Source organism: Homo sapiens, chromosome 19 (genome assembly GCF_000001405.40).
Source record: "Homo sapiens chromosome 19, GRCh38.p14 Primary Assembly".
Classification (NCBI taxonomy): domain Eukaryota; kingdom Metazoa; phylum Chordata; class Mammalia; order Primates; family Hominidae; genus Homo; species Homo sapiens.
The window spans coordinates 55,132,270-55,158,251 of record NC_000019.10 but is presented as its reverse complement, the minus strand read 5'-3'; the positions used below and the strand labels follow the sequence as shown (position 1 = coordinate 55,158,251).

The following is a 25,982-nucleotide window of genomic DNA, read 5'->3' as shown; positions in this document are numbered from 1 at the left end:
GGAGGAGGGGCTGGGGGCCTGGACTCCTGGGTCTGAGGGAGGAGGGGCTGGGGCCTGGACTCTTGGGTCTGAGGGAGGAGGGGCTGGGGCCTGGACTCTTGGGTCTGAGGGAAGAGGAGCTGGGGGCCTGGACTCTTGGGTCTGAGGGAGGAGGGGCTGGGGGCCTGGACTCTTGGGTCTGAGGGAAGAGGAGCTGGGGGCCCAGACACTTGAGTCTGAGGGAAAAGGGGGCTGGGGGCCTGGACTCCTTGTGTGAGGGAGTGGCCAGGGTCTCCCAGGGTCCTGGGACTGAGGGAGGAGGAGGTTGGGAGGTCGGGCATTCTCTGGGTCTGAGGGAGGAGGGGTCTAGGACTCCAGGATCAGAGGGAGGAGGGTCCGGATTCCTGTGCCCGGAGGTGGCTGGTGATCCAGCTGGAGCAGGGCCCACCCCGCCCCTCACGCGCCCCCGTTATCTGGCATAGTGGGCAGGGGGAGGAGGAGGTGACAGTATATTTAGTCTGTGTCCTCGCCCTTTATCTCAGTGTCCTCGGGGAGTCTCAAGCAGCCCGGAGGAGACTGACGGTCCCTGGGACCCTGAAGGTCACCCGGGCGGCCCCCTCACTGACCCTCCAAACGCCCCTGTCCTCGCCCTGCCTCCTGCCATTCCCGGCCTGAGTCTCAGCATGGCGGATGGGTGAGTGATGCCCCAAGGCAGTGGGAGTTGGGGGCGACCTCCCGGGTTCCCAAGAGGGGTCGCAGCTGAGAGGCTGGACCCTTGGCCTGCGAGGTAGGCGTAGGGACTCTTGGGTGAAGAGAGGAAGTGGGTTTGCGAGTCAGACTCCTGGAACCCAAGGAAGGGGAAGCGCGGTCCCCCGACCTCTTGTTCAGAGGGGACTCCAGGGGTCCCTTAGGAGACAGGACACAGCCCACCACTAACCCCCCTCCTTGGTTTCTCTCCTTCCAGGAGCAGCGATGCGGTGAGAGCAGCGGGCTAAGGCGTGGCTGGGACCCCCAGGGCCAGGGTGGGCGCTGCAGTGAGGGGTCTGGGGCGGGAGGCTGCAGCCCTAGCAGAGGGTGCGGTACGGTAAGGGCTGGGTGGGGTCTTGGTGGTGATGGGGTCCCCACTCCTCCTAACCCAGGCTAGGGAACCTCGCCCTGCACCAGCCCCAATCAGACGCCGCTCCTCCAACTACCGCGCTTATGCCACGGAGCCGCACGCCAAGGTGGGACGGGGCTTCCTGGGGGCAGAGTACAGGCGCCGGAGGGATCCAAGACCCTGGGAGTGGGGGGAGGAGCCAGGGCTGCGAAGGGGGCGGGGACTACGCGGAGGGGCTTCAGGGGCGGAGTTTTGCAGAGGGTCATGCTCGGATTGGTGACAGCAGCCTGCGGGCGGAACTCCGTTGCCCTCGGACTTGCTTAGGGATAGATGGGAAGTGCCTATCCAAAGGAAGAGACCCAGATTGGTGGATGGGAATGAGGGGCGTGGCCTCCCGTAGACTCAGGGCTCAAGTTGGACGTGGGCCCAAATCTGGACCGGCTGGGTTTGCTGGGGGTGTCTTGAGGTCCCCTCCACCGTCGTCTCCGAATCCCCCTCCATGATCCTTCCTTGCTCCATCTCACCCTGGCAGAAAAAATCTAAGATCTCCGCCTCGAGAAAATTGCAGCTGAAGGTGAGGACGGGCGGGACTGGGAAAGAGCAGGCAGGTGCTCAGGGGGCGGAGCTTGAGAATGGGTGGGGCTTTCGGGGTAGGTGGGCGGAAGTGGGCGGGGTTTGGCCGCTCGGGGCGTGGCTTTAGCGGGGAGTACTGCTCGGGGTGGGACGGGGCCTTGGAACAGTGGAGACCAAACTGGAGGGTTTAGAAGGGCAGAGGCGGTTCCCCACGCCTGGTCTTTATCCTGAAGCCCCGGGTGGGCTGCGCTTCCCTCCCACCCCTCTGCAGACTCTGCTGCTGCAGATTGCAAAGCAAGAGCTGGAGCGAGAGGCGGAGGAGCGGCGCGGAGAGAAGGGGCGCGCTCTGAGCACCCGCTGCCAGCCGCTGGAGTTGGCCGGGCTGGGCTTCGCGGAGCTGCAGGTACCGGCTCCCAAGGATGCGAGGTTTCTAGTCCCGGAATTCAGCAGTACAGCCTCTATCCCCTCTTCTGCTCGGGACCCAGGCGTCCAATATGGCTGTCCTTACCCAATTATATATGGTTCGTGGGACTCCTGGCCCCTAACACCCTTTGTGTGCAGGTCTGTGGAGTCTTGGCTCCAACCTACTCCTTCAGGACCATGTGGCCCTCCTATCCCAGACAGAAGCCCAAGCCCCAGCCCCTCCTCCCTCAGACCCTGGAGTCCAGGCCCCAGCCCCTCCTCCCTCAGACCCAGGAGTCCAGTCCCCAGCCCCTCCTCCCTGAGACCCTGAAGTCCAGGCCCCAGCCCCTCCTCCCTCAGACCCTGGAGTCCAGGCCCCAGCCCCTCCTCCCTCAGACCCTGGAGTCCAGGCCCCAGCCCCTCCTCCCTCAGACCCTGGAGTCCAGGCCCCCAGCCCCTCCTCCCTCAGACCCTGGAGTCCAGGCCCCAGCCCCTCCTCCCTCAGACCCAGGAGTCCAGTCCCCAGCCCCTCCTCCCTCAGACCCTGGAATCGAGGCCCTCAGCCCCTCCTCCCTCAGACCCTGAAGTCCAGGCCCCAGCCCCTCCTCCCTCAGACCCTGAAGTCCAGGCCCCAGCCCCTCCTCCCTCAGACCCTGAAGTCCAGGCCCCAGCCCCTCCTCCCTCAGACCCAGGAGTCCAGTCCCCAGCCCCTCCTCCCTCAGACCCTGGAGTCCAGGCCCCAGCCCCTCCTCCCTCAGACCCTGGAGTCCAGGCCCCAGCCTCTCCTCCCTGAGACCCTGGAGTCCAGGCCCCAGCCTCTCCTCCCTCAGACCCTGGAGTCCAGGCCCCAGCCCCTCCTCCCTCAGACCCTGGAGTCCAGGCCCCAGCTCCTCCTCCCTCAGACCCTGGAGTCCAGGCCCCAGCCCCTCCTCCCTCAGACCCTGGAGTCCAGGCCCCAGCCCCTCCTCCCTCAGACCCAGGAGTCCAGTCCCCAGCCCCTCCTCCCTCAGACCCTGAAGTCCAGGCCCCAGCCCCTCCTCCCTCAGACCCAGGAGTCCAGTCCCCAGCCCCTCCTCCCTCAGACCCAGGAGTCCAGTCCCCAGCCCCTCCTCCCTCAGACCCTGGAATCGAGGCCCTCAGCCCCTCCTCCCTCAGACCCAGGAGTCCAGGCCCCCAGCCCCTTCTCCTCCCTCAAACCCAGGAGTCCAGGCCCCCAACTCCTCCCTCAGACCCAGGAGTCCAGGCCCCCAGCCCCTTCTCCTCCCTCAGACCCAGGAGTCCAGGCCCCGAGCCCCTTCTCCCTCAGACCCAGGAGTCCAGGTCTCCCTGTTTTTGGTTCCCCCAACAACACACACCACGTTCCTCCTCCAGGACTTGTGCCGACAGCTCCACGCCCGTGTGGACAAGGTGGATGAAGAGAGATACGACATAGAGGCAAAAGTCACCAAGAACATCACGGAGGTGGGACGCATGGGCAGCTCGGGTACCTTCGGGGTAGGGTGAGATGGCTGGGACTTGGTCTCTGCCTGACCCCTTGCAGCTGCTTTTGGCTGCACATCCCAGGAGACCCAGGACAACTGTGAGCCTGGCAGGGCTGGGGCAGAAGGATGAGTACAATATAGTCAAGGAAAGCTGTTCTAGGCAGAGGGAACAGCACATGCAAGGCCATGGGTTGGGAAACAGAAAATAAGTTAGTGAACATGCTCAGGGCATCACATGTTGGTAAATTAGCTCAGGCACTGGCCAGGGAATTGTGATTTGCATGTAGCTGGACCAGGTTATGCCAGTGGTTTTGAGAGGTGAGGCTGGAGCATATGAGGAGGGGGATTCAGTTCCAGGATTAGAAGCCTAGACTGGGAGCCTAAGCCGGGAAGAGACTGGTAAGGCCTCGGTACTGGAAGACGAGATAAGGAGAATAAAAAAGGAGTGTAGGATGGAGGAGTTGGGTGTGCGGGAAATGGAAGGAGAAGTACCCACCCCCTCGTGTGCCCCCAGATTGCAGATCTGACTCAGAAGATCTTTGACCTTCGAGGCAAGTTTAAGCGGCCCACCCTGCGGAGAGTGAGGATCTCTGCAGATGCCATGATGCAGGCGCTGCTGGGGGCCCGGGCTAAGGAGTCCCTGGACCTGCGGGCCCACCTCAAGCAGGTGAAGAAGGAGGACACCGAGAAGGTGAGTGTGGGCTAAGGCCAGGAAAGAGGATGCTGAGGGGAAGGGCTGTGGGTGCCAACAACCCTAGGCCTGAGGGCAGATGGTGCTTGGAGTTGGAGGTAGAAGCAGCTAGTAAGGGGTCCTCAGAAATGCAAGAGGAAGACAGGAAGTAGAAGGGGAAGACAGGAAGTGCATTAGGGCTACAGGAAGTCCATGTAAGAGCAAAGAGGTACATGAAGGTCCAGGTGCAGTGGCTTATGCCTGTAATCTTTGAGGTTTAAAAAAAATTTTTTTTTAATTTCCTTTTTTTTTTTTTTTTGCGATGGAGTCTCTGCTGCCCAGGCTGGAGTGCAATGACACCATCTCGGTTGCTGGAGTGCAGTGACACCATCTCGGCTCACTGCAACCTCTGCCTCCCAGGATCAAGTGATTCTCATGCCTCAGCCTCCCGAGTAGCTGGGACTACAGGTGCACACCACCATGTTGTTGTTTTAATTTCTACAAATTTCTTTTTTAAATTAGCCAGTCACGGTGGTGGCATGCAGCTTCTCAGGAGGCTGAGGCAGGAAAATCGCTTGAGCCCATGAGATCGAGGGTGCAGTGAGCTATGACTGCACCACTGCACTCCAGCCTGGGCAATACAGTGAGACCCTATCTTAAAGAAGAAGACAGGAAAGATAGGAGTGGATGCCTGAAACCATGGATTGTACTGAACCCTATATGTAATTTTTTTTCCTATACACACATACATACCTATGATAAAGTTTCATTTCTAAATTAGACACAGTAAGAGATTAACAATAAATAACAACAAAAGAAGGTTGGGCGTGGTGGCTCATGCCTGTAATCTCAACACTTTGGGATGCTAAGGCAGGCAGATTGCTTGAGCTCTGGAGTTCGAGACCAGCCTGGGCAACATGGCGAGACCATGTCTCTATAAAAAATACCAAAGTTACCGGGTGTGGTGGCTCGTGCCTGTAATCCCAGCGCTTTGGGAGGCCAAGGCGGGCGGATCATGAGGTCAGGAGTTTGAGACCAGCCTGGCCAACACAGTGAAACCCCACCTGTAGTAAAAATACAAACATTTGCTGGGCGTGGTCGTGGGTGCCTGTAATCCCAGCTACTTGTGAAGCTGAGGCAGGAGAATTGCTTGAACCCGGGAGGCAGAGGTTGCAGTGAGCCGAGATCTCACCACTGCACTCCAGCCCAGGCAACACTGGGAGACTCCATCTCAAAACAAAACAAAACAGAACAAAAGTTAGCTGGGCATGGTGGCACACACCTGTGGTCCCAGCTCCTCAGGAGTCTGAGGTGAGAGGATGGCTTGAGCCCAGGAAGTTGAGGCTGCAGTGAGCCGAGATTGCACGACTGCACTCCAGCTTGGATGAGGCAGCCAGACCCTGTCTCAAATAATAATAATAATAAAATAGAACAATTATAACAGATTGTAATAAAACTCATGAATGTGGTCTCTTTCTCAAAATATCTTATAGCACTGTAATCACCCTTCTTTTCCTTGTGATGTAAAATGACAGTGCCTATGTGCTGAGATGAGGTGAGGTGGATGACATAGGCATTATGACCTGGCGTTAGGCTACTATTGACCTGAGAATCCATCAAACTTATGAATTGTTTATTTCTGGAATTTTCCATTTAATATTTTTGGGCCATGGTTTACCTCAGGTAACTGAAACCACACAAAGTAAAATTGCAGAAAAGGAGGGACTACTATAATAAGAAGAGAAGGAAGGAGACAGGAAGGGCATAAGGCAGACAGGAAGTGGAGGGGAAAGATAGGAAGTGCAGGAAGGAGACAGGAAGTGGAGGGGAAAGACAGGAAGTGCATGAGGGAGACAGGAAGTGGATGGGGAAAGACAGAAAGTACATGAGGGAGACAGGAAGTGCTGGGGAAAGACAGGAAGTGCATGAGGGGGACAGGAAGTGCATGAGGGAGACAGGAAGTGCATGGGGAAAATTGGCAGGGATTATCTTGAAAAGACAGGAAGTGCTCCAGAACTAGATACTTAGGCATCCAGGGTAGAGTGGCCCCACAGGCTGGAGGGAAGACAGGGATTCTTGAGAGACTGGAGACCAAGAAGAGACCCTAACCTCTGACTCATCGCCATCCTCCAGGAAAACCGGGAGGTGGGAGACTGGCGCAAGAACATCGATGCACTGAGTGGAATGGAGGGCCGCAAGAAAAAGTTTGAGAGCTGAGCCTTCCTGCCTACTGCCCCTGCCCTGAGGAGGGCCCTGAGGAATAAAGCTTCTCTCTGAGCTGAAAGTGACTCCATGTCTATTACCCAGGGCTTAGGCAGGAGACAGATGGGAAGACTGCAGGTGGGGCTCCCCCAAAGCCACACAGCAGGTTGGGGACCAGATGGGTCTCCCATGTGAAGCACTCTTGGCTGTGTTATTGAAAAGAATCCCGGGGTTCATGAATTTGGAGAGCGGAGCTTTGTTTCTTAAGAAGCGGATCACAACCTGAAGACCAGAAGCATGGCTTCTTGCCAAAAAACAAAAGCAGGCACTTTAAGGGAGGGAAGGGCAAGGCAGGAATTTATGCTGAGTGGGTTAGCTAAGTGCACGTATTCAACTGGTTATAGAAGGAGCTATGAATATTCATGGACAGGTGGACACATGGACACACGCATGTGTGACAAGCAAACACTCATTTTTTTTTTTTTTTGAGACGGAGTCTTGCTCTGTCACCCAGGCTGGAGTGCAGTGGCACGATCTCAGCTCACTGCAACCTCTGCGTCCTGGGTTCAAGCCATTCTCCTGCCTCAGCCTCTCCAGTAGCTGGGATTACAGGCATGCACCACCACGCCCAGCTAATTTTTGTGTTTTTCGTAGAGACGGGGTTTCACCATGTTGGCCAGGCTGGTCTCGATTTCCTGACCTCGTGATCCGCCCTCCTTGGCCTCCCAAAGTGCTGGGATTACAGGCGTGAGCCACCGCGACTGGCCGCAAACACATTTTACATGCATCCCACCTTCACTTGGTGGTGGAGGCTTAACATTTAAGTGCATTCCATTGAATGCATTCGTATCGAAACACGAAGCAGGGATATGAAGACACTCAGTGCACAGCCTCTGTCAACAGCCAGAACCAGTCCGTGGTCTGCGGCATCTTATCAGGAGAAAGTTACTGAAATCAGTCTCTTGTTCAACTAATGCTGTAGTTATGCCTTGTGGAACAGGGGGTTCAGCTAGTCAGCATCTGGCAATGGATGGCTGCAATGGTTGTAATATTGCTTATCTTGAGGCCGGTGCTTGTTTAGCTGCTAGAAAAAGGAAAAGCCTTGTGGCAGTTGGAACATAGTCGATTATATAAGTGTAGGGATGCGTGGCTTAACCCTTGCCTGGCATGGCCTTAGGTCTTGTTTATAATTTGGTATCTTATTGCCACAAACAGTTCATTCCATCAGTCTTCTGATCTCTATTGTCACAGCTCCTCTGGCCCATGTGGAGTGCACAGAGATGCCAAGACTAAAGGTCAAAGAGAGAGAGACACAGAGAAACAGACAGGCAGAGAGACATGACCGACAACAGAGAGACTGAGTTGGGAGTAGAGAGAGTAGGAGCCAGGCAAAGACCCAAAGAGAGAGGGAGAAAATACCACAAGATGCATAGAAGGAAGTGCAAAGAAAGGAGAAAAGAGAGACAGAGATATACTCACAGCAAGGTGCAGAGACATGGAGACCCTATAAGAGATGGAAATGGAGAGCCACAGAGGGGGAACTGCGGGCACTAAGAGAGACATGGAGAGAACTAGAAAGATAGAGACGTGAACACAGACACAGAGACCCAGAGCCAAAAAGAGACAGAAATGGGGTCATAGGTGGACAGAAATGCACAGAGAGACTGTGAGCCCCCACAGACACAAACGCTGAGAGGGGCAGACATGCAGAGACACCCACAGAAATGCAGAGACAAAACCACCCGGAGACACATGCCGAGAAACACACTGAGGGGCTCAGAAAGCGACAGATGCAGAGAGAGCCCAAGACAGACCCAGCAAGGGGCCCCGAGAAATGCACAGAAACACAAAGACCGAGACCACCAGAGACAGAGGTACGGAGAGGCGGGGAGGGTGAGGAAGCCTGCTCTCCAGGGCTGGCTTGAACCTAGAACTCAAGGTCATGGCTTGGCTGGGAAGCGGGAGGGGGATACCAAAAAAGATCAGCGTTAGATGGAGGTGGGGAGGGAGGGTAGGTTTCACCCTAATTGACACCCCACCCTCCCCCTCCCCCTCCCCACACCTGCTTCCCGGCTTTAGTGCCTGTTGTCACCAGGATGGAATCCTGGCGGCAGACAAAGGGGTGGGGGTGGGAGGAGGAGACAAAAAGATGGACAGAGACAGAGGAGGAGACTAAGAAGTAGAGACAGACACACAGAGACACACAGATGGAGAGCCACAGAGACAACAGAAATGGGGGTCCAGAAAGAGACCTAGATAGAAAGAGGGAACAGAGAGAAGAAAACAGGAAACATTCCTTATAGCCCATGTGTCATTAGTAGGTCCTCCAAGGACCTACTGTGTGCCGGGCATGGGGACGTCAAAGCACAGGGAGCTATAAGGGAGGTAGTTGGAGCACCACGGGAGCCTGGGGTGTGGGGTGGGAGCAGGGGCGGGGCTCCTGGGCCATGCAGATGGGGTTGGCATGGGGTTGGGGAGGGGCCCACGGAGGCTTCTGGACTCTGAGTGTGGAGCCAGGGGCAGCAGGGCTGTCTCTGAACTCCCAGGCTTGTGTTTGAGCAAAGGAATTCTCTCCCCCTCCCTCTCCCCTCGGGGCGGGCCCGAGCCTCCAGCTATAAACTCCCCGGAGCTTCAGTGCCCTCAGCAAGGCTCAGCCTCAAGATTCACAGCATCTCAGACACAGCCTAGGTAAGGGGCTCTGCGGAGCCCTGTGGTCTTCAAAAACCATGTCCTTGGGGGAGGGGGCAGGAGGCAGGTGGGGAAGATGTCGGGTGTGGAGAAATGGTGCAGAGGTAGGTGGGGCATACAACTGGAGGTCTGGGAACTTGAGAGGCTCAGACTTTAGGGGGACTCAGGATAGAGGGGAAAATACTAGGATTTGTGGGTTACACAAATCCTAACCCGGGGCTGCCAGGACTTGGATGTCCCAGAATAAAACCTCCTAGGATCTTGGGGTTCTGGGAATCTGGGGGAAATCTCAGCAGTCAGGGATATCTGGACTTGGAGGTCAAACAATCTGGGTGTCAGGATTTGGGGCCTCAGACTCTGAGGGTATCAGGAATTGGGGGGGTCTCAGAAGAAATTGGGGTTTTGGTAGTGGAGGGCTCGGAATCTGAGACATTATGATAGAAAGCATGAAAACTTAGAGTGCCATTATCTGGGGTATCATGAACTGGGCCTCCGAGTTTGGGTATCAAGATTTTGGGGGTCTCATATTCTTGAGGTTTCAGATTTTAGGAGGTCTCAAGACCTGGGGGTGGTCTTAGGATGTCCCGGCCCATATCTGGACTATCAAGAACTGGGATTTCAGAATCCAGAGCTGTGAGGACTTGCTGGCCTCAGAAACACGGGCATCATAAATCGGGGTCTCAGAATCTGTGGGTATTGGGATTTGGGGCTAGGCACCCTGTGGCCTAGGGTGTCTCAAAGACTTTGAGGTCTAAGAATGTAGGGGTCAGGGTGAGGTCTACGGACAGAAGGTGCCCTTTATGCCCCTGCCCCCTACGTGATGTATGGGAAGGTGAAAGGGGAGACAGGTGGGGAGGAAACCAGCCAGTGGGGTGGGGCGAGTGGGAGAGGGGATGCGGGTGACTAATTCTCCCAGAAGCCCCCCTTCCTCAAATCCCTTCTTAGGAAATGTCCTCGGTTTCACCATCTATGACATCCCCCCAAAATAGCTCCTGGGGGTGGGGCAGCTATTGTCTTCAGGCCACTGTCCCTTCTCAAATGCCTCTTCCTAATCCCAACTGGATCAGGTTCCCATGGACTTGTCATAAGACAAAAGAGGACAGCTGTGCTGAGGGGGCAGGGTCTGCAGCCTCCTGGCTGTGCCAGGACCACACCTACCAAGGTCTGTCCTCATGCATGCTTTAGGACAGCCGGCCCCCTCCCTCAGACCCAAGAGTCCAGACCTGAGCCCTCCTCCCTCAGACGCAGGAGTACAGGCCCCCAGCCCGCTCCTCCCTCAGACTCAGGAGTCTAGACTCCCAGCCTCTCCTCCCTTAGATCCAGGAGTCCAGGCCCCAGCTCCTCCTCCCTCAGACCCAGGAGGCCAGGCCCCCAGACCCTCCTCCCTCAGACCCAGGCGTCCAGGCCCGCGGCCCCTCCTCCCTCAGACCCAGGCGTCCAGGCCCCTGGCCCCTCCTCCCTCAGATCCAGGAGTCCAGACCCCAGCCCCTCCTCCCTCAGACCCAGGTGTCCAGGACAACCCATCTCAGTCTCAGGAGTCCACACCCACCCTCCCACACACCCCCCAGCCCCTCCTCCCTCAGACCCAGGAATCCGGCCCCCAGCCCCTCCTCCCTCAGATCCAGGAGTTCAGGACCCCAGTCCCTCCTCCCTCAGACCCAGAAGTCCAGGCCCCAGCCCCTCCTTCCTCAGACCCAGGAGTCCAGGCCCCAGCTCCTCCTCCCTCAGACCCAGGAGTCCAGACCCCAGCCCCTCCTCCCTCAGACCCAGGAGTCCAGGCCCCCAGCCCCTCCTTCCTCAGACCCAGGAGTCCAGGCCCCAGCTCCTCCTCTCTCACACCCAGGAGTCCAGACCCCAGCTCCTCCTCTCTCACACCCAGGAGTCCAGACCCAGGAGTCCAGGCCCCCAGCCCCTCCTCCCTCACACCCAGGAGTCTAGGTCGCCCCCTCCTTGGGGCCCCACCCCACTGGGCCTCTTCTCTCTGGTCCTTAGGCCGCACCAGGATGTCGGACACCGAGGAGCAGGAATATGAGGAGTGAGTGCTGCACTGGGAGGGGTTGGGGCGTGCAGTGGTGGAGAGGCTCTCCCACCCCAGGTCTAACTCTCCCCTCCCTCCTCTCTCCCCACACCCGTCCGCAGGGAGCAGCCGGAAGGTGAGTAGGGAGTGGGCCGGCCCTATGGGATGGGGACACGCCCAGGAGCTCTTGGGAGGGGAGGCGAGGAGTGTGGCACTTTGGCGGGGAAGGGGCGGCTCAGCCCTCGGGCCCTCGCCCGCCCTCTCCGGGTCTGGAGCGTCTCCTCGCGCCATCCCTGCACCGCCAGGGGGAACGTGCCCATCGCAGCCGAGGCCAGAGGGACCCCCGTCCAGCAGAGACTGGAACCCTGGTCTCTGGCCACCGCCCCCATCCCTCCCCCAGCTCCTAACGCCTTCTCTTCTGTGCCCCCATCTCCAGAGGAGGCTGCGGAGGAGGAGGAGGAAGGTGAGGTCCCGGACTCCGCAGGTCTGGAGCTGGGGGGTGGGGGGGCGGGGACGCTGGGCCCGGGAGGAGGGGGCGGGATGGGGCTCCCGACGGCCTCGGCTCCCGGTCCTCTAACAGCCTCTCACGTCTCTTCCCTCTCTCCCCTCCCGCGCCCGGGCGTGGCCGCTCCCCCCTCGCTCCCCAAACCCTCGCTGCTCCTCCCTCCCCTCCCCAGCCCCCGAAGAGCCGGAGCCGGTGGCAGAGCCAGGTAACCGCGGCTGCTTCGCTTCCCGAGACCGATGTCGGGGGCCCGGGGGGACCCCCGATATCCTCGGGCCCCAACCTCCAAGACCACCCTTCCCTCCCTCCGCCCCCATAACCCGCCCCCAGGCCCGGTCCTTTAAGCCCCTGAGAGCTCCTGCGCCCTCTCGGGGCCGGGAAGGGAAATGGCCCCGCAGTGGCTTTAACCCTTTCCCTTCCTTCTTAAAGGGACCGACACCCAAGCCTTCTTCCCCAGTCTGGAGGAATCTTTACAGAAGGGTTGGATGTTTGCGGAGAAGCACCACCCCATCCCCCCTTATCTTCGCCTCCAACCTTGTCTGTTATTTTCTCCCCCATATACATTCAAAGGTTGGGGCTTGGAATTTAGGATTGCAGAGGAGGCGAGCGCTGGGAGTCAGGGTCTCCAAGGTCGGGCCGGGGGCGGGGGGGCGGTGGGGCGGTGGGCAGGGGGCGAGCTGGGGAGAGAGCGCTGGGGTCACTGAATGAAGACAGAGGTTGGGACCCCCTGCACTGCTGGGTCCTAATGGAGGAGAGCAGGAGCTCTGGGCATATAAATAGAGAAAGGTCTGGGGGTTTGCACTCCTGGGTGTGCAGACAGTGGGGGTGGGGGGTCCCCACACCAGTTCTGAATGTATATCTGATGCGTGTGACCCTCTTCCTCCTTTACAGCCACCCTGACTTTCCTTCCCTCTTTTCTTCTCCCCATCCCCCCTCCTCCAGAACTGGACTCCAGAGTCCTTCCCTGGGGTCCTGGGGGCCGAGGCTTGGGGGGTCCCTCCCCAGGGTGTGTCAGGCCTAGCCCCTCTCCTCTAAACTCTTGCTAATTATCTCTTTTTATCCCCCACCACCAACAGAAGAGGAACGCCCCAAACCAAGGTGAGATCCTACAGGGTGGGGGGCCCCAGTCATACATCTTCCTAAATATTCCCTCTACCCCCAGAGACAAGGTGTGAGAAAGGCAGAGATGGAGGGAGGAAATTGAAACAGCAGTCGACATTTCTCCTCCTCCTCCTCCTCCCTCCCCCTTTCCCTCCTCCCTCCTCTCCCTCCTCCTCCCTCCTCCTCCTCCACTTCCTCTTCTTCCCCTTCCCCTTCTCCTTCTCCTTCCCCTTCTTCTTCATCGTGGTCATAGTCTCCACCCTGTTACCCAGGCTAGAGTGCAGTGACCCAATCCTGGCCCACTGCCTCAACATCTTGGGCTCAAGCAATCCTCCCATCTCAGCCTCCTGAGTAGCTGGGACCACAGGCATGTGCCACCACACCTGGTTTTTTTTTTTTTTTTTCTTTTTGTAGAGATGAGGTCTTGCTATGTTGCTTAGGCTGGTCTTGAACTCCTATCCTCAAGCAGTTCTCCCACCTTGGCCTCCCAAAGTGCTGGGATTACAGGCGCAAGCCACCATGCCCAGCCAGTCTGTTTCCTTCTTTCCACCCAGTGGTCCCTCTTCCCCTCGCGCCTTTACCATCACCCCAGCCTCCTCTCTGGCCTCCCTGCCTACAACTTGTGGCTCATCCTCCTCCATGACTCGAGAGAGACTTTTCTAACACCAGAGCTAACCCTGCCCCTCCTCTGCTCAGAATCTTTCCTCAACTCCCCACTACTCTTAAGACGCAGTCAAAGCAACTAGCCTGCATTCAAAGCCTTCCCCATCTGGCTCCAGCGGACCTTTCCGGCATCTGCCTTCCCCACTGACAGACACACAGCGTTTCATGGTTCTCTAGCCATGCCTGTGCTTTCATACCCCTGAGCCTTTGCACACACTGTGCCCTCTGCCTGCGCAGCGGCAGGTGGGAGGATCACTTGAGGATAGGAGTTCAAGATCAGCCTAAGTAACAAAATGAGATCCCCCACATCTCTACAAAAAATTTTAAAAAATTAGCCGGGCACAGTGGCACACACCTGTGATTCCAGCTACTCAGGAGGCTGAGGAAGGAGGATTGTTCGAACCCAGGATTTGGAGGCTGCAGTGAGCTATGATTACACCACTGTACTCCAGCCTGGGCAACAGAGCAAGACCCTGTCTCTAAAACATAAATAAAAATAAGGGAATGGGGCCGGGCGCAGTGGTTCATGCCTGTAATTCCAGCACTTTGGGAGGCTGAGGGGGGCGGATTACCTAAGGTCAGGAGTTTGAGACCAGCCCGGTCAACATGGTGAAACTCTGTCTCTACTAAAAATACAAAAGAATTAGCCAGGTATTGTGGTGGGCACCTGTAATCCTAGCTATTTGGGAGGCTGAGGCAGGAGAATCGCTTGAACCGGGAGGCAGAGGTTGCAGTGAGTCAAGATCGTGTCATTGCACGGCAGCCTGGGCAACAAGAGTGAAACTCCATCTCAAAAAAAAAAAAAGGGGGTGGGGTGGGGTGGGGGAATGGACTGAGAGGGATTCCAAGGCAAAGGGACAGGACTTGGGGATTGTTGGGCAAGGGGAGGGAAGCAATGGGGACAACCCCGAAGGGTCTCTGGGCTGGGGAACAAAGTGGACAGTGGGGCTGCCATCTCCTTCTCAGAGAAGTTGGTGAGCTCCATCAGGACGTCATGTGTGGGAAGGTGGGAAAAGTTCAGGAGATACCTGTTAGCTTGAGTCTGGGGCTTAGGAGAGAGTCTGGACCAGAGACAGTTGGCGAGTCCTCAGCAGTTGATGATACCTGAAGTCATTGGAGTGAATGGCATTGATGATGAGAAAAGGGAAAAGGAAAGCTCACTGGCAGCTCACGGGGCTGTCGGGGCAGGAGATAGGGATGGAACAGCCAGAGGGGTGGGAGGCAAGCCGGTATTCATTCCTGTACAATATGGTAAGCCATATTTTATTCCCACACATGACGCCCTGATGGAGCTTATCGACTTTTCCAAGATGGAGATGACGGCCCTGCTGTACACTTGGCCCCCTGGCCCAGAGACCCTTGGGGATTGTCCTCACCTCTTCCCTCCCCTTGCCCAGCATCCCCTAAGTCCTGTCTGCTTCATCTTGGAATCGCTCTTCACTGTCTCAGAAACCCAGAAAAGAGAATTCCAAGGAAGTGGCAGGAAATCAGAGCAGGCTGAGGGCTGAGCCTCAGAGCGGCACCACCCAATAGAAATAGATGGCAAGCCACACACGTCACTTACAATTTCTTACTAAAGGCTGGGCGCAGTGGCTCACGCCTATAGTCCCAGCACTCTGGGAGGCTGAGGCGGGAGGATCACTTGAGCTCAGAAGTTCAAGACCACCCTGGACAACATAGTGAAACGCCATCTCTTTTTTTTTTTTTTTGAGATAGAGTCTCCCTCTGTCACCCAGGCTGGAGTGCGATGGCACGATCTCGGCTCACTGCAATCTCTGCCTCCGGGGTTCAAGCGATTCTCCTGCCTCAGCCTCCTGAGTAGCAGGGATTACAGGCACGTACCACCATGCCCAGCTAATTTTTTTTTTTAATTTCTAGTAGAGATGGGGTTTCACCATGATGCCCAAGCTGGTTTTGAACTCCTGACCTCAAGTGATTCGCCCACCTTGGCCTCCCAAAGTGCTAGGATTACAGGCGTGAGCCACCGCGCCCAGGCTGTGAAACGCCATCTCTACAAAAAATTTAAAAATGGCTGGGCGCAGGGGCTCCTGCCTGTAATCCCAGCACTTTGGGAGGCTGAGGCAGGCAGATCGCCTGAGGTCGGGAGTTCAAGACCAGCTTGGCCGGCATGGTGAAACCCCGTCTCTACTAAAAATACAAAAATTACCCAGGCGTGGTGGCAGGCGCCTGTAATCCCAACTACTCGGGAAGCTGAGGCAGGAGAATCGCTTGAATCTGGGAGGTGGAGGTTGTTGTGGTGAGCAGAGATGGCGCCACTGCATTCCAGCCTGGGTGACAGAGTGAGGCTCTGTCTCAAAAAAAAAAAAAAAATTCTTACTAGGCATATTTTTTAAAGTACAACAATATAGGAAAAATTAATTTTCATAGCACAGTTTTTTTAATCTGTTATATAATGTTTTATCATTTCAACATGTAATCAGTATAAAACATGATTAGTGCCGGGCGCGGTGGCTCACACCTGTGATCCCAGCACTTTGGGAGGCCGAGGCGGGCGGATCACGAGGTCAGGAGATCGAGACCATCCTGGCTAACACAGTGAAGCCCCGTCTCTACTAAAAATACAGAAAAATTAGCCAGGCTTGGTGGTGGGCGCCTGTAGTCCCAGCTACTCGGGAGGCTGAGGCAGGAGAATGGCGTGAACCCAGGAGGCGGAGCTTGCAGTGAGCCGAGGTGGCGCCACCGCACTCCAGCCTGGGTGACAGAGCAAGACTCCGTCAAAAAAACAAAACAAAACCAACAACAACCAAAAAAACATGAGTAGTGAGGTATTTTACCTTCTTTTGTGTGTTTCACTGACAGCCCGCCTCAGCTGGGACCCTCCACGTTCAGGAGCCTCCCGGGGCTGGCGGCTACCTCACTGGACGGCACATCCCGGAGGTGGGAGGTGGCTCAGGGAGGTCGGGCCACTCATGGTCTCTGTGTTTCTGTCCACTCAGCCGCCCCGTGGTGCCTCCTTTGATCCCGCCAAAGATCCCAGAAGGGGAGCGCGTTGACTTCGATGTAAGTGACAAGAGACCCCTCCGCAGGCGCAGTTGCTAGTCTTTAAGGGGCCTTTGTGTCAATCATGAAAAGGCGCCGGCCGGGCGCGGGGCCTCATGCCTGTAATCCCAGCACTTTGGGAGGCTGAGGTGACCCACCTGAGGTCAGGAGTTCGAGACCAGCCTGGTTAATATGGTGAAACCCCGTCTCTACTAAAAATACAAAAATTAGCCGGGCGTGGTGGCAGGTGTCTGTAATCCCAGCTACTCGGGAGGCTGAGGCAGGAAAATCGCTTGAACCTGGGAGGCGGAGGTGGCGGTGAGCCGAGATCGCGCCATTTCACTCCAGCCTGGGAGGAAAAAAAAAAAAAAAGGCGCCGGTCCCCACTCCCCACTCCCGTCTTTGGGAAGCCTGTCCTTGGAAGAGCTGATTAGTGTCAAACACGAGGCATTGCTGCCACCTGCTGGATACCGTCCTGGGAAACGGTTCAGTTCACCATCCTGCATGGGGGAGGTGCTGGGAGGCTGCTGCCCCCTCCAGGGTCTCCTAGGACGGGCTGCCCGTGTGTCCTGCAGGACATCCACCGCAAGCGCATGGAGAAAGACCTGCTGGAGCTGCAGACACTCATCGATGTACATTTCGAGCAGCGGAAGAAGGAGGAAGAGGAGCTGGTTGCCTTGAAGGAGCGCATTGTGAGCCGAGAGTCCGGGTTCCCCCCGGTCTTCCTCCCTCCATGTGGATCCCTTGCATCTTGGGAGATGCAGATAATAGTTTTCCTCCTAGTACAGAGCTGAGCCTTAGGCTTTCGCGAATTCACCCAAGTCGGTGGCCACACTCCAATCTGTTTATTAGCCTACTCTGGGGAAGGAAGACTGGGGGTACGTCCCTGCACCCCCTTATGCTTCTCCGTTTCCCAGGAGCGGCGCCGGTCAGAGAGAGCCGAGCAACAGCGCTTCAGAACTGAGAAGGAACGCGAACGTCAGGCTAAGCTGGCGGTGGGTGCCTCCCCTGCCCTGAGAGCCCAAATGTTACTTCTTCAGCCGGATGCCCATTTTGTTATTATTATTATTATTATTATTATTACTATTATTATTATTCTTTGAAACGGAGTCTAGCTCTGTCGCCCAGGCTGGAGTGCAGTGGCACGATCTCAGCTCACTGTAACCTCTGCCTTCCAGGTTCAAGCGAATCTTCTGCCTCAGCCTCCCCAGTAGCTGGGACTACAGGTGCGCACCACCACGCCCGGCTAAATTTTGTATTTTTAGTAGAGATGGGGTGTCACCATGTTGGCCAGGATGGTCTTGATCTTCTGACCACATGATCCGCCCACCTCAGCCTTCCAAAGTGCTGGGATTACAGGTGTGAGCCACCGCATCCGGCCTATTATTATTTTTTATTCGTTTATTTGGAAATAGGGTCTTGCTCTGTCACCCAGGCTGAAGTGCAGTGGTGTGATCCTAGCTCACTATAACTAGGACCTCCTGGGCTCAAATGATTTTCCCACCTCAGCCTCCAGAGTCGCTGGAACTATATAGGCTGCGCCACTCTGCCCCACTAGTTTTTTTTATTTTTTTATTTTTTGTAGAGACAGCATTTTGCCATGTTGTCCAGGCTGGTCTTCAACTCCTAAGCTCAAGCAATCCACCTGCTTTCACCTCCCAAAGTGCTGGGATGACAGGCATGAGCCATCGTGCCCGGCCTGGATTCTCCATTTTCTTCTTTTCCCTTTTTTTTTAATTTTAATTTTTTTTTTTTCTGAGACAGTCTCGCTCTGTCACCCAGGCTGGAGTGCAGTGACGCGATCTCAGCTCACTGCAACCTCCGCCTCCTGGTTCAAGCAATTCCCCTGCCTCAGCCTCCTGAGTAGCTGGGATTACAGGCACCTGCCACCAGGCTCGGCTAATTTTTGTATTTTTAGTAGAAATGGGGTTTCTCCATGTTGGTTCAGGCTGGTCTTGAACTCCTGACCTCAGGTGATTCACCCCCTTGGCCTCCCAAAGTGCTAGGATTACAGGCATGAGCCACCATGCCTGGCCATTGTCATCATTATTACTATTATTATTATTTTTTTTTATTTGAGATAGGGTCTTTCTATGTTGCCCACGTTGTTCCCAAACTCCTGGGCTCAAGTGATCCTCCTGCCTCAGCCTCCCGAGTAGCTGGGATTACAGCCACCTGCCCGTCACCCAGCTGTGAAGGGGATTTTGCAGATGTGATTAAATTAAAGATCTTGAGATGGGAAGGTTGTCCTGGATTACCTGTGGGGAAGGGCAAGATCATCACAAGGGTCCTTATAAGAGGAAGGCCAGAGGGTCAGACTGAGAGATTTGAAGATGCTGCATGGCTGCCTCTGAAGATGAAAGAAGGTCCATGGGCCCAGACATGCAGGCAGCAGCTGGAAAAGGGAAGGGAATGAATTCTCCCCTAGAACCTCCAGAATAAATTGGTTCTGTTCACAACTTGATTCCAGCCCAGGGGGACCAATTTCAGATGTCTGATCTGCAGAGCTGTAAGATAACAAATCTGCATTGTTTTTCTGCCACTAAATTTGCAAATTACAGCAGTGATAGGAAACTAAGTTTAGGCGCGATGGCTGACGCCTGTAATCCCAGCACTTTGGGAGACCGAGACAAGTGGATCACCTGAGGCCAGGAGTTTGAGACCAGCCTGGCCAACATGGTGAAACCCTGTTTGTACTAAAAATACAAAAATTAGCTGGTAATGGTGGCACATGTCTGTAATCCCAGTTACTTGGGAGGCCGAGGCAGGAGAATCACTTGAACCCAGGAGGTGGGGGTTGCAGTGAACAGAGCAGAGATTGCACCACTGCACTCCAGCCTGAGTGACAGAGCGAGACTCCATCTCAAAAACAGAAAGGAAACTAATTCAGGTACGGAGTGCTGGGTGTACAAAAAGCCTCATGTCCACCATAAGGAGACGGGGCTCAGCCTGGACAAACCACTGTTTCTGGAACATTCAATGAAGAGTTTCTCGAATGTCGTAATGCCTTCGCTCAATATTCCAGAACCCCTTCCTCAGGCTCAAGGCCATCAGCCTCTTTAATCTCCCCAGTCCCTGGTCTTATCACCAGTTACTTCCCTTGACCCCCTCAAAACAGACATTCTCATATCCTGAGACTAAGGGCGACTGTGGCCCAGACAGGCTGAGCATCTGGAGTGAGGTCGTACAGCAGAGTTCACTATCGGCTATTTCAGGGTGGAGACATGCAGAAAAAGCAGGCATTTCTTCTTCTCCTTCATTTCGATTTTTTCTGGGAGGATATTAAGACCCAGAGAAGGGGGCCAGGTGCGGTGGCTCACGCCTGTAATCCCAGCACTCCGGGAGGCCGAGGCAGGCGGATCACTTGAGGTCAGTAGTTTGAGACCAGCCTGGCCAACATGGTGAAACCGCGTCTCCACTAAAAATACAAAAATTAGTTGGGCGCGGTGGCGGGTGCCTGTAATCCCAGCTACTCAGGAGGCTGAGGCTGGAGAATTGCTTAAACCCGGGAGGCGGAGGTTGCAGTGAGCCAAGATCGCACCACTGCACTCCAGCCTGAGCAACAGAGCGAGAGTCCGTCTCAAAAAAAAAAAAAAACAGAGGGGAAGGGACTTGTAGGTGGTCACACGGGGAGACGTGGCAGGGCCGGGAGTGGGTACCCCTGCGTTTCTGCTGGTTCTGATGTCCCAGCAGCCTCTGCGGCACTGGGTCTGCTGATCCCTGTGCCCCAGTTCCACATCCCAGGGCCCTCCTCCCTCAGTCCTACAGGGGAGTCCATGAGGTTAACCCCTTACTTCCCACAGGAGGAGAAGATGAGGAAGGAAGAGGAAGAGGCCAAGAAGCGGGCAGAGGATGATGCCAAGAAAAAGAAGGTGCTGTCCAACATGGGGGCCCATTTTGGCGGCTACCTGGTCAAGGTGAGTCAGCCTGCAGGAGCCTGAGGTCTGAGTTCTGAGGGGGCAGGGGCTGGGGGCCAGACCTCTGGTTCCTAACGGAGGAGGGGCTGAGGCCTGGATTCCTGGGTCTGAGGGAGGAGGGGCTGGGCCCTGAACTCCTGGGTCTGAGGGAGGAGGAGCTGGGGTCTGGACGCCTGGGTCTGAGGGAGGAGGGGCTGGGGTCCTGGACTCCTGGGCTGAGGGAGGAGGGGCTGAGGGCCTGGACGCCTGGGTCTGAGGGAGGAGGGGCTGGGGGCCAGACTTCTGGTTCCTAATGCGAGAGGGTCTGGGGCTTGGACTCAGTCTGAGAGGAGGGGCTGGGGGCCTGGACTCCTGGGTCTGAGGGAGGAGGGGCTGGGGGCCTGCACTCCTGGGTCTGAGGGAGGAGGGGCTCGGGGCCTGCAATCCTGGGTCTGAGGGAGGAGGGGCTGGGGTCTGGACTCCTGGGCTGAGGGAGGAGGGGCTGGGGGCCAGACTTCTGGTTCCTAATGCGAGAGGGTCTGGGGCTTGGACTCAGTCTAAGAGAAGGGACTGGGGGTCTGGACTCCTCCTGAATCTGAGGGAGGAGGGAGTGGGGCTGGACTCCTAGGTCTGAAGGAGATGGGCCTGGGGTGCAGACCTGTGGTCCCAACATGGAAATGGTCTGTGGGATCCGACGTGTGGGTCCCGACACGGCAGTGCTCTGTGGGATGTGGCCCCCAGTTTACTGTTCCGCCTCCCCCACCCTCAGGCAGAACAGAAGCGTGGTAAGCGGCAGACGGGGCGGGAGATGAAGGTGCGCATCCTCTCCGAGCGTAAGAAGCCTCTGGACATTGACTACATGGGGGAGGAACAGCTCCGGTAGGTGCTGTGGGGGGCTCGGGGTGTAGGGGCCTGGGTGTGAGACAGGGGGATAAAGGAGCTCACACCCAGATCTGGGTGGGCAGATACTCCGGGTCTCAGCTCCAGTGCTATGTGACTTTGGGCAAGTGGCTTCCCCTCTCTGGGCCTCTGCTGCCTTCTTTGTGAAACATGTCACTGAACCCACTTTTCGTGGCTGCCGTGGCCTGTAGCATCTGACAGGTGTTACCAAGGAAGCCAGACAAGATGACTTCCCTCCCCCAAGTTTAGGAGATTTTGTTAACTCCGTGATGTGCCTTGGAGCTCAGGATGGGCTGTGCCTTTTACCTAAATTCAAGCCAGGAATGCGGGTGAGAATTTTCCAGCTGAGTCCCTCGCATCTATAGCCAAGACAGCCTGCCTCTCATGATAAGCTACAGGACGGCAGGCTGGTGGGGGCTTGCCTTCAGGAGCCCGCCTGTTTCTCCATGTTCTCTGGCCTGGGCTGTGGCTCAGAAACTTCAACCACCCCAGAGTGGCGCCGTGATCGGGTTTGCCGCTTGCACCGAAAGCCCCTGCCCAGGGCTCAGTGCCAGCTTTGCCGGCTACTTTGTGATCTTGCGCACGTTATCTGACTTCTCTGGGGCTCCCATTCCTCATTGGCAGAACAAGGATATAATCACAAAATTGACCTCACAGAGCTGTGAAAGGGCAGTGAGATAGTAATAATAATTACAGGCTGGGCCCGGTGGCTCATGCCTGTAATTCCAGCACTTTGGGAGGCTAAGATGGGAGGATTGCTTGAGGCCAGGAGTTGGAGACCAGCCTGGGCAATGTAGTGAGACCCCATCCTTAAAAAAATAATAATTACAGCAGCAGCTTCCTGTGGAGGGTTTACAACCCTGTGAGGTAGATACTATTATTATCCTTGTGTTAATAGTGAGGAACCTGAGGCACAGAGAGGTTAAGTAACCCTTCCAGGGTTGCACAGCTAGCAAGTGGAAGAGCTGGGATTTGAACCCGGCAGTCTGGTGCAATAGTCCGTACTCTTTGCTAGTGTGCTGTAAAGTGGCTTCATGGTAAATGTTTAACAGCTGCTCTCCAGGGGGCAAAATGTCTAGATTTAGCACATGCCCATTCCCAGGGCGTAAATACTTCCACCTTGCTCCTTTCAAACTACCCGTGTGGGGACACTGAGTGTGGAGACGGGAAAGGATGTGCACAGCAGGCTCCTGGAAGCCCTCTGGGGGGCGCTGTGGGCCCTCCTTCCTGTGCACATGGTTCATGTAAAGTATTGTTGGCCGGGCGGGCGCGGCGGCTCACACCTGTAATCCCAGCACTTTGGGAGGCTGAGGCGGGCAGATCACCTGAGGTCAGGAGACCAGCCTGACCAATATGATGAAATCCCATCTCTACTAAAAATACAAAAATTAGCCGGGCGTGGTGGCAGGCGCCTGTAATCCCAGCTACTCTGGAGGCTGAGGCAGGAGAATCACTGAACCCAGGAGGCGGAGGTTGCGGTGAGCCGAGATGGCACCACTGCACTCCAGCCTGGGCGACATGAGCGAAACTCTGTCTTAAAAAAAAAAAAAAAAAAAGGCTGAGGTGAGAGGATCACTAGAGCCTGAGAGGTTGAGACTGCGGTGAGCTGTGATGGTGTCACTGCACTCCAGCCTGGGTGACAAAGTGAGACCCTATCAAAAAAAAAAGAAAAGAAAGAAAAGAAGGAAGGAAGGAAGGAAGGAAAGGTAGGTTTTAGTCCAGGGCTGGTATGGCAATTCTACAAAATCAGAGACCAGACTCCTATGTTTTCTGCTTCACTCACTACTTTTAGCCCAATATTTCCATCCTCAAAATCACTTAGTCCAATATAGCTGCTAGCTCCAGCCTCACATGGATGATCCAAGCAGCAGAAAGAAGACGCAAGAGAAGAGCCACACAGTCTCTTTTGGAAGCCGCACCCAGTGACCTGCTTTCGTCTGAGTAGCCACCCCTACCTGCAAGGGAGATTGGGCAAAGTAGTTTTTCAACTCAGCCTAATGCACAAGAGGCTATTTCTAGAAGAAAGGGAGAAGGGCTAACAGGTAGGCAAGCAGCCATCTCTTCCACAGTTTTATTTCCATATTTTCTAGAGAAGGAAACAGGATTCTAAAGGAAGTCATGTGACATATTCATAAACCAGAGAATGGCATGGCTGGGAATTGAACCAGGGGCTTCTAACTGCAGAGCCTGGGCTCGGTCTTTTCTTTCTTCCTTTTCTTTCCCCTCTCCCCTCCCCTCCCTTCCCCTCGTCTCCCCTCCCCTCCCCTCCCCTCGTCTCCCCTCCCCTCCCTCCCTCCCCTTCTTCTTCCCTCCTCTCCCCTCCCCTCTTCTCCTCTCCCCTCCCCTCTTCTCCTCTCCCCTCCCCTCTTCTCCTCTCCCCTCCCCTCCCCACTTTCCTTTCTCCTTTTCTTTCCTTTCTTTTGTCTTGCTCTGTTGCCAGGCAGGAATACAGTGGTGCAATCACAGCTCACTGCAGCTTTGACCTCCCAGGTTCCTTCTGCCTCAGCCTCCCAAGTAGCCGGAAACACCCTGCCTGGCTAATTTTTTTAATTATTTTTAGCAGAGACGGGGTCTCTCTTTGTTGCCCAGGCTGGTCTTGAACTCCTGGGCTCAAGTGTTCTGCTGGCCTCTGCCTCCCAAAGTGCTGGGATTACAGGTGCCGAGCCTGGTCTCTTAATCATGACACCCTTCTCTCCCCTTGGGAAATGCGAGAGCTCCAGCTCGGATGTGGAGAAAGTGGGCACAGATTTTAAAACTCTCGGCCTCAAATATGAACAAAATGGTGCCGACAACGCTGAACTCACAGTCTCGCTGTGTGGCTTTGGGTGGTTCCCACAACCTCTCTGGGCCCAAGTTCCTCTCCGTCCCTGGGCCTAGGGCCCGGTCTGCCTGGCTGCCTCCATCACAGCCCTCCTGCCCTGCCAGGGAGAAAGCCCAGGAGCTGTCGGACTGGATCCACCAGCTGGAGTCTGAGAAGTTCGACCTGATGGCGAAGCTGAAACAGCAGAAATATGAGGTGAGACCCAGCTCCGCAGGGAGGGAGGGAGAGAGGGCAGGGCTGGGCTGGGAGGGACCAGCAAACTCCAGGCAGGGGTGGGTGGCCCGTCCCCACGTCCCCACCGGCTGTCCCAGCATCTGTCTTCTGCCTCCGCAGATCAACGTGCTGTACAACCGCATCAGCCACGCCCAGAAGTTGTGAGTGTGACCGTCTCAAGCCCTTGCTCTTGTCCCTACCCTCCCGCTGACTCTCAGGCCTCTTTCCCTCCCTCTGTGGGCTCCATCCCCCACTGCCTGAGTTTCTGCCCCTTTCTCTTTGTCCTTCCTTCTCTGTCCTCCTCTCTCTGCTCTCGGAATCCTGGGTCTCAGTTCCTTTTTCTTTTTCTTTCTTTTTTTTTTTTTTTATTGAGACTGCGTCTCGCTCTGTCACCCAGGCTGGAGTGCAGTGGAGTGATCTCAGCTCACTGCAACTTCCATCTCCCGGGTTCAAGCGATTCTCCTGCCTCAGCCCCCTGAGTAGCTGGGATTACAGGTGCGCGCCACCAAGCGTGGCTAATTTTTGTATTTTTAGTAGAGACGGGGTTTCACCATGTTGGTCAGGCTGGTCTCGAACTCCTGACCTCGTGATCCACCCGCCTTGGCCTCCTAAAGTGCTGGGATTACAGGCGTGAGCCACCGCGCCCAGCCGAGAGGGTCTTCCCTGAATCTCTCTGTTTCTCCACTCCCTCTTCCTTCCTCCCTCCTCTCCCTCTCCCTTCTCCTCTTCTCCCATTTCCTGTCTCTTTCACCCCAGCCCTTCCTGCGTGTTACCCACCCATGCCCAGATCATCCAACCCTTCCTCCCCCCACCCTGGCCCCTGACTCATAAACATTCATCAGCTCCCCCATGAACACCCTGCACTCGCCCCCAAATATCAGCTCCCACATGTCAGCGAGGCTTTGACCACCAGCCGCTGCCCCCCAGTCATAGAACCCAAAAGAGGTGACAGTTGTTTTGCTCACTGCTTCCTCTGGGCAGGGAGGGCTAATATTTTGGGGAATGGGCTTCCTGAATTGAGGGCCTGGGGCCCATTTCAGAGACTGGAGGGGCCCCTTTTTCCTGATACCACCTCATTCTTCTACAGCCGGAAGGGGGCAGGGAAGGGCCGCGTTGGAGGCCGCTGGAAGTGAGGATGCCGCCCCGGACAGTGGCACCTGGGAAGCCTGGGAGTGTTTGTCCCATCGGTAGCTTGAAATAAACGCTCCCCTCAGACACCCGCTGGGTTCTCTGATGTTATTATGGTTGAGATGCAGCTGGTCTCTCCTGGTTAATTGACTTCTTATTACCAACAAGTTACTTGAAAGAGTGTCACCAATAATCATTAAAGTACGGCAGGCTGAACCTTCACACACTGCTGGTGGGAATGGAAAATGCAACAGCTTTGCAAGCAGCCTGGCGGTTCCTCAACAAGTGAAAGCATTTCTGCAGGACCCAGCAGTTCCCCTCCTGGATGTATATCCAAGAGAACCAAGAACCTTTGTCCACACAAAAGCTTGTACATGAATGTTCATAGTAGCATTTTTATTTTTAATTTTTAGAGACAGGGTCTTGCTCTGTCGCCCAGGCTGCAGTGCAGTGGCGTGATCACGGCTCACTGCAGCCTTGAATTCCTGGGCTCAAGTGATCCTCCCACAACAGCCTCTGAAAGTGTTGGGATTTTAGGTGTGAATCACTGCACCGGCCGCAGCATCTTTTTTTTTTTTTTTTTTTGAGATGGAGTCTTGCTCTGTCACCCAGCCTGGAGTGCAGTGGCATGATCTCGGCTCACCGCAACC

At 55.8% G+C, this 25,982-nt stretch overlaps 2 protein-coding genes across 8 annotated transcripts, besides 4 other annotated features; both read left to right on the top strand.

Annotated features, from left to right (window-relative positions):
* TNNI3 (troponin I3, cardiac type) lies at positions 520-6,485 on the top strand. Its single transcript, NM_000363.5, has 8 exons — positions 520-673; positions 944-956; positions 1,119-1,202; positions 1,608-1,649; positions 1,920-2,051; positions 3,422-3,511; positions 4,046-4,222; positions 6,335-6,485. The coding sequence occupies exons 1-8, from the start codon at positions 663-665 to the stop codon at positions 6,416-6,418; spliced, it is 633 nt and encodes a 210-aa protein (NP_000354.4). The 5' UTR covers positions 520-662; the 3' UTR covers positions 6,419-6,485.
* Positions 742-1,329: an enhancer, noted in NCBI's record as "H3K4me1 hESC enhancer chr19:55668291-55668878 (GRCh37/hg19 assembly coordinates)". NCBI's record gives its function as "activates a minimal SCP1, AML or CMV promoter by ChIP-STARR-seq in naive H9 embryonic stem cells {active_cell/tissue: H9 hESC(naive)}" and the evidence as "EXISTENCE:reporter gene assay evidence [ECO:0000049][PMID:30033119]".
* Positions 9,046-25,554, top strand: TNNT1 (troponin T1, slow skeletal type). Of its 7 annotated transcripts, XM_017027186.2 has the most exons (15): positions 9,046-9,091; positions 10,159-10,253; positions 11,084-11,126; positions 11,231-11,244; positions 11,545-11,571; positions 11,786-11,818; positions 12,687-12,708; positions 16,332-16,395; positions 16,950-17,066; positions 17,292-17,369; positions 20,178-20,291; positions 21,040-21,149; positions 24,096-24,186; positions 24,325-24,365; positions 25,292-25,554. In XM_017027186.2, the coding sequence occupies exons 3-15, from the start codon at positions 11,095-11,097 to the stop codon at positions 25,335-25,337; spliced, it is 789 nt and encodes a 262-aa protein (XP_016882675.1). In that variant the 5' UTR covers positions 9,046-9,091; positions 10,159-10,253; positions 11,084-11,094; the 3' UTR covers positions 25,338-25,554. The 7 variants fall into 7 exon arrangements, with proteins under 7 accessions (XP_016882675.1, NP_001119604.1, NP_003274.3 ...); NM_001126132.3 differs by lacking the exon at positions 10,159-10,253; NM_003283.6 differs by lacking the exon at positions 10,159-10,253 and having other exon boundaries at positions 24,048-24,186.
* Positions 16,287-16,791: an enhancer, noted in NCBI's record as "NANOG-H3K4me1 hESC enhancer chr19:55652829-55653333 (GRCh37/hg19 assembly coordinates)". NCBI's record gives its function as "activates a minimal SCP1, AML or CMV promoter by ChIP-STARR-seq in naive H9 embryonic stem cells {active_cell/tissue: H9 hESC(naive)}" and the evidence as "EXISTENCE:reporter gene assay evidence [ECO:0000049][PMID:30033119]".
* Positions 16,478-16,703: a silencer, noted in NCBI's record as "fragment chr19:55652917-55653142 (GRCh37/hg19 assembly coordinates)". NCBI's record gives its function as "represses an EF-1alpha promoter that drives an FKBP-Casp9 reporter gene in an ReSE screen in K562 erythroleukemia cells {active_cell/tissue: K562}" and the evidence as "EXISTENCE:reporter gene assay evidence [ECO:0000049][PMID:32094911]".
* Positions 16,921-16,980: an enhancer, noted in NCBI's record as "active region_15077". NCBI's record gives its function as "activates an Ori minimal core promoter by ATAC-STARR-seq in GM12878 lymphoblastoid cells {active_cell/tissue: GM12878}" and the evidence as "EXISTENCE:reporter gene assay evidence [ECO:0000049][PMID:35858748]".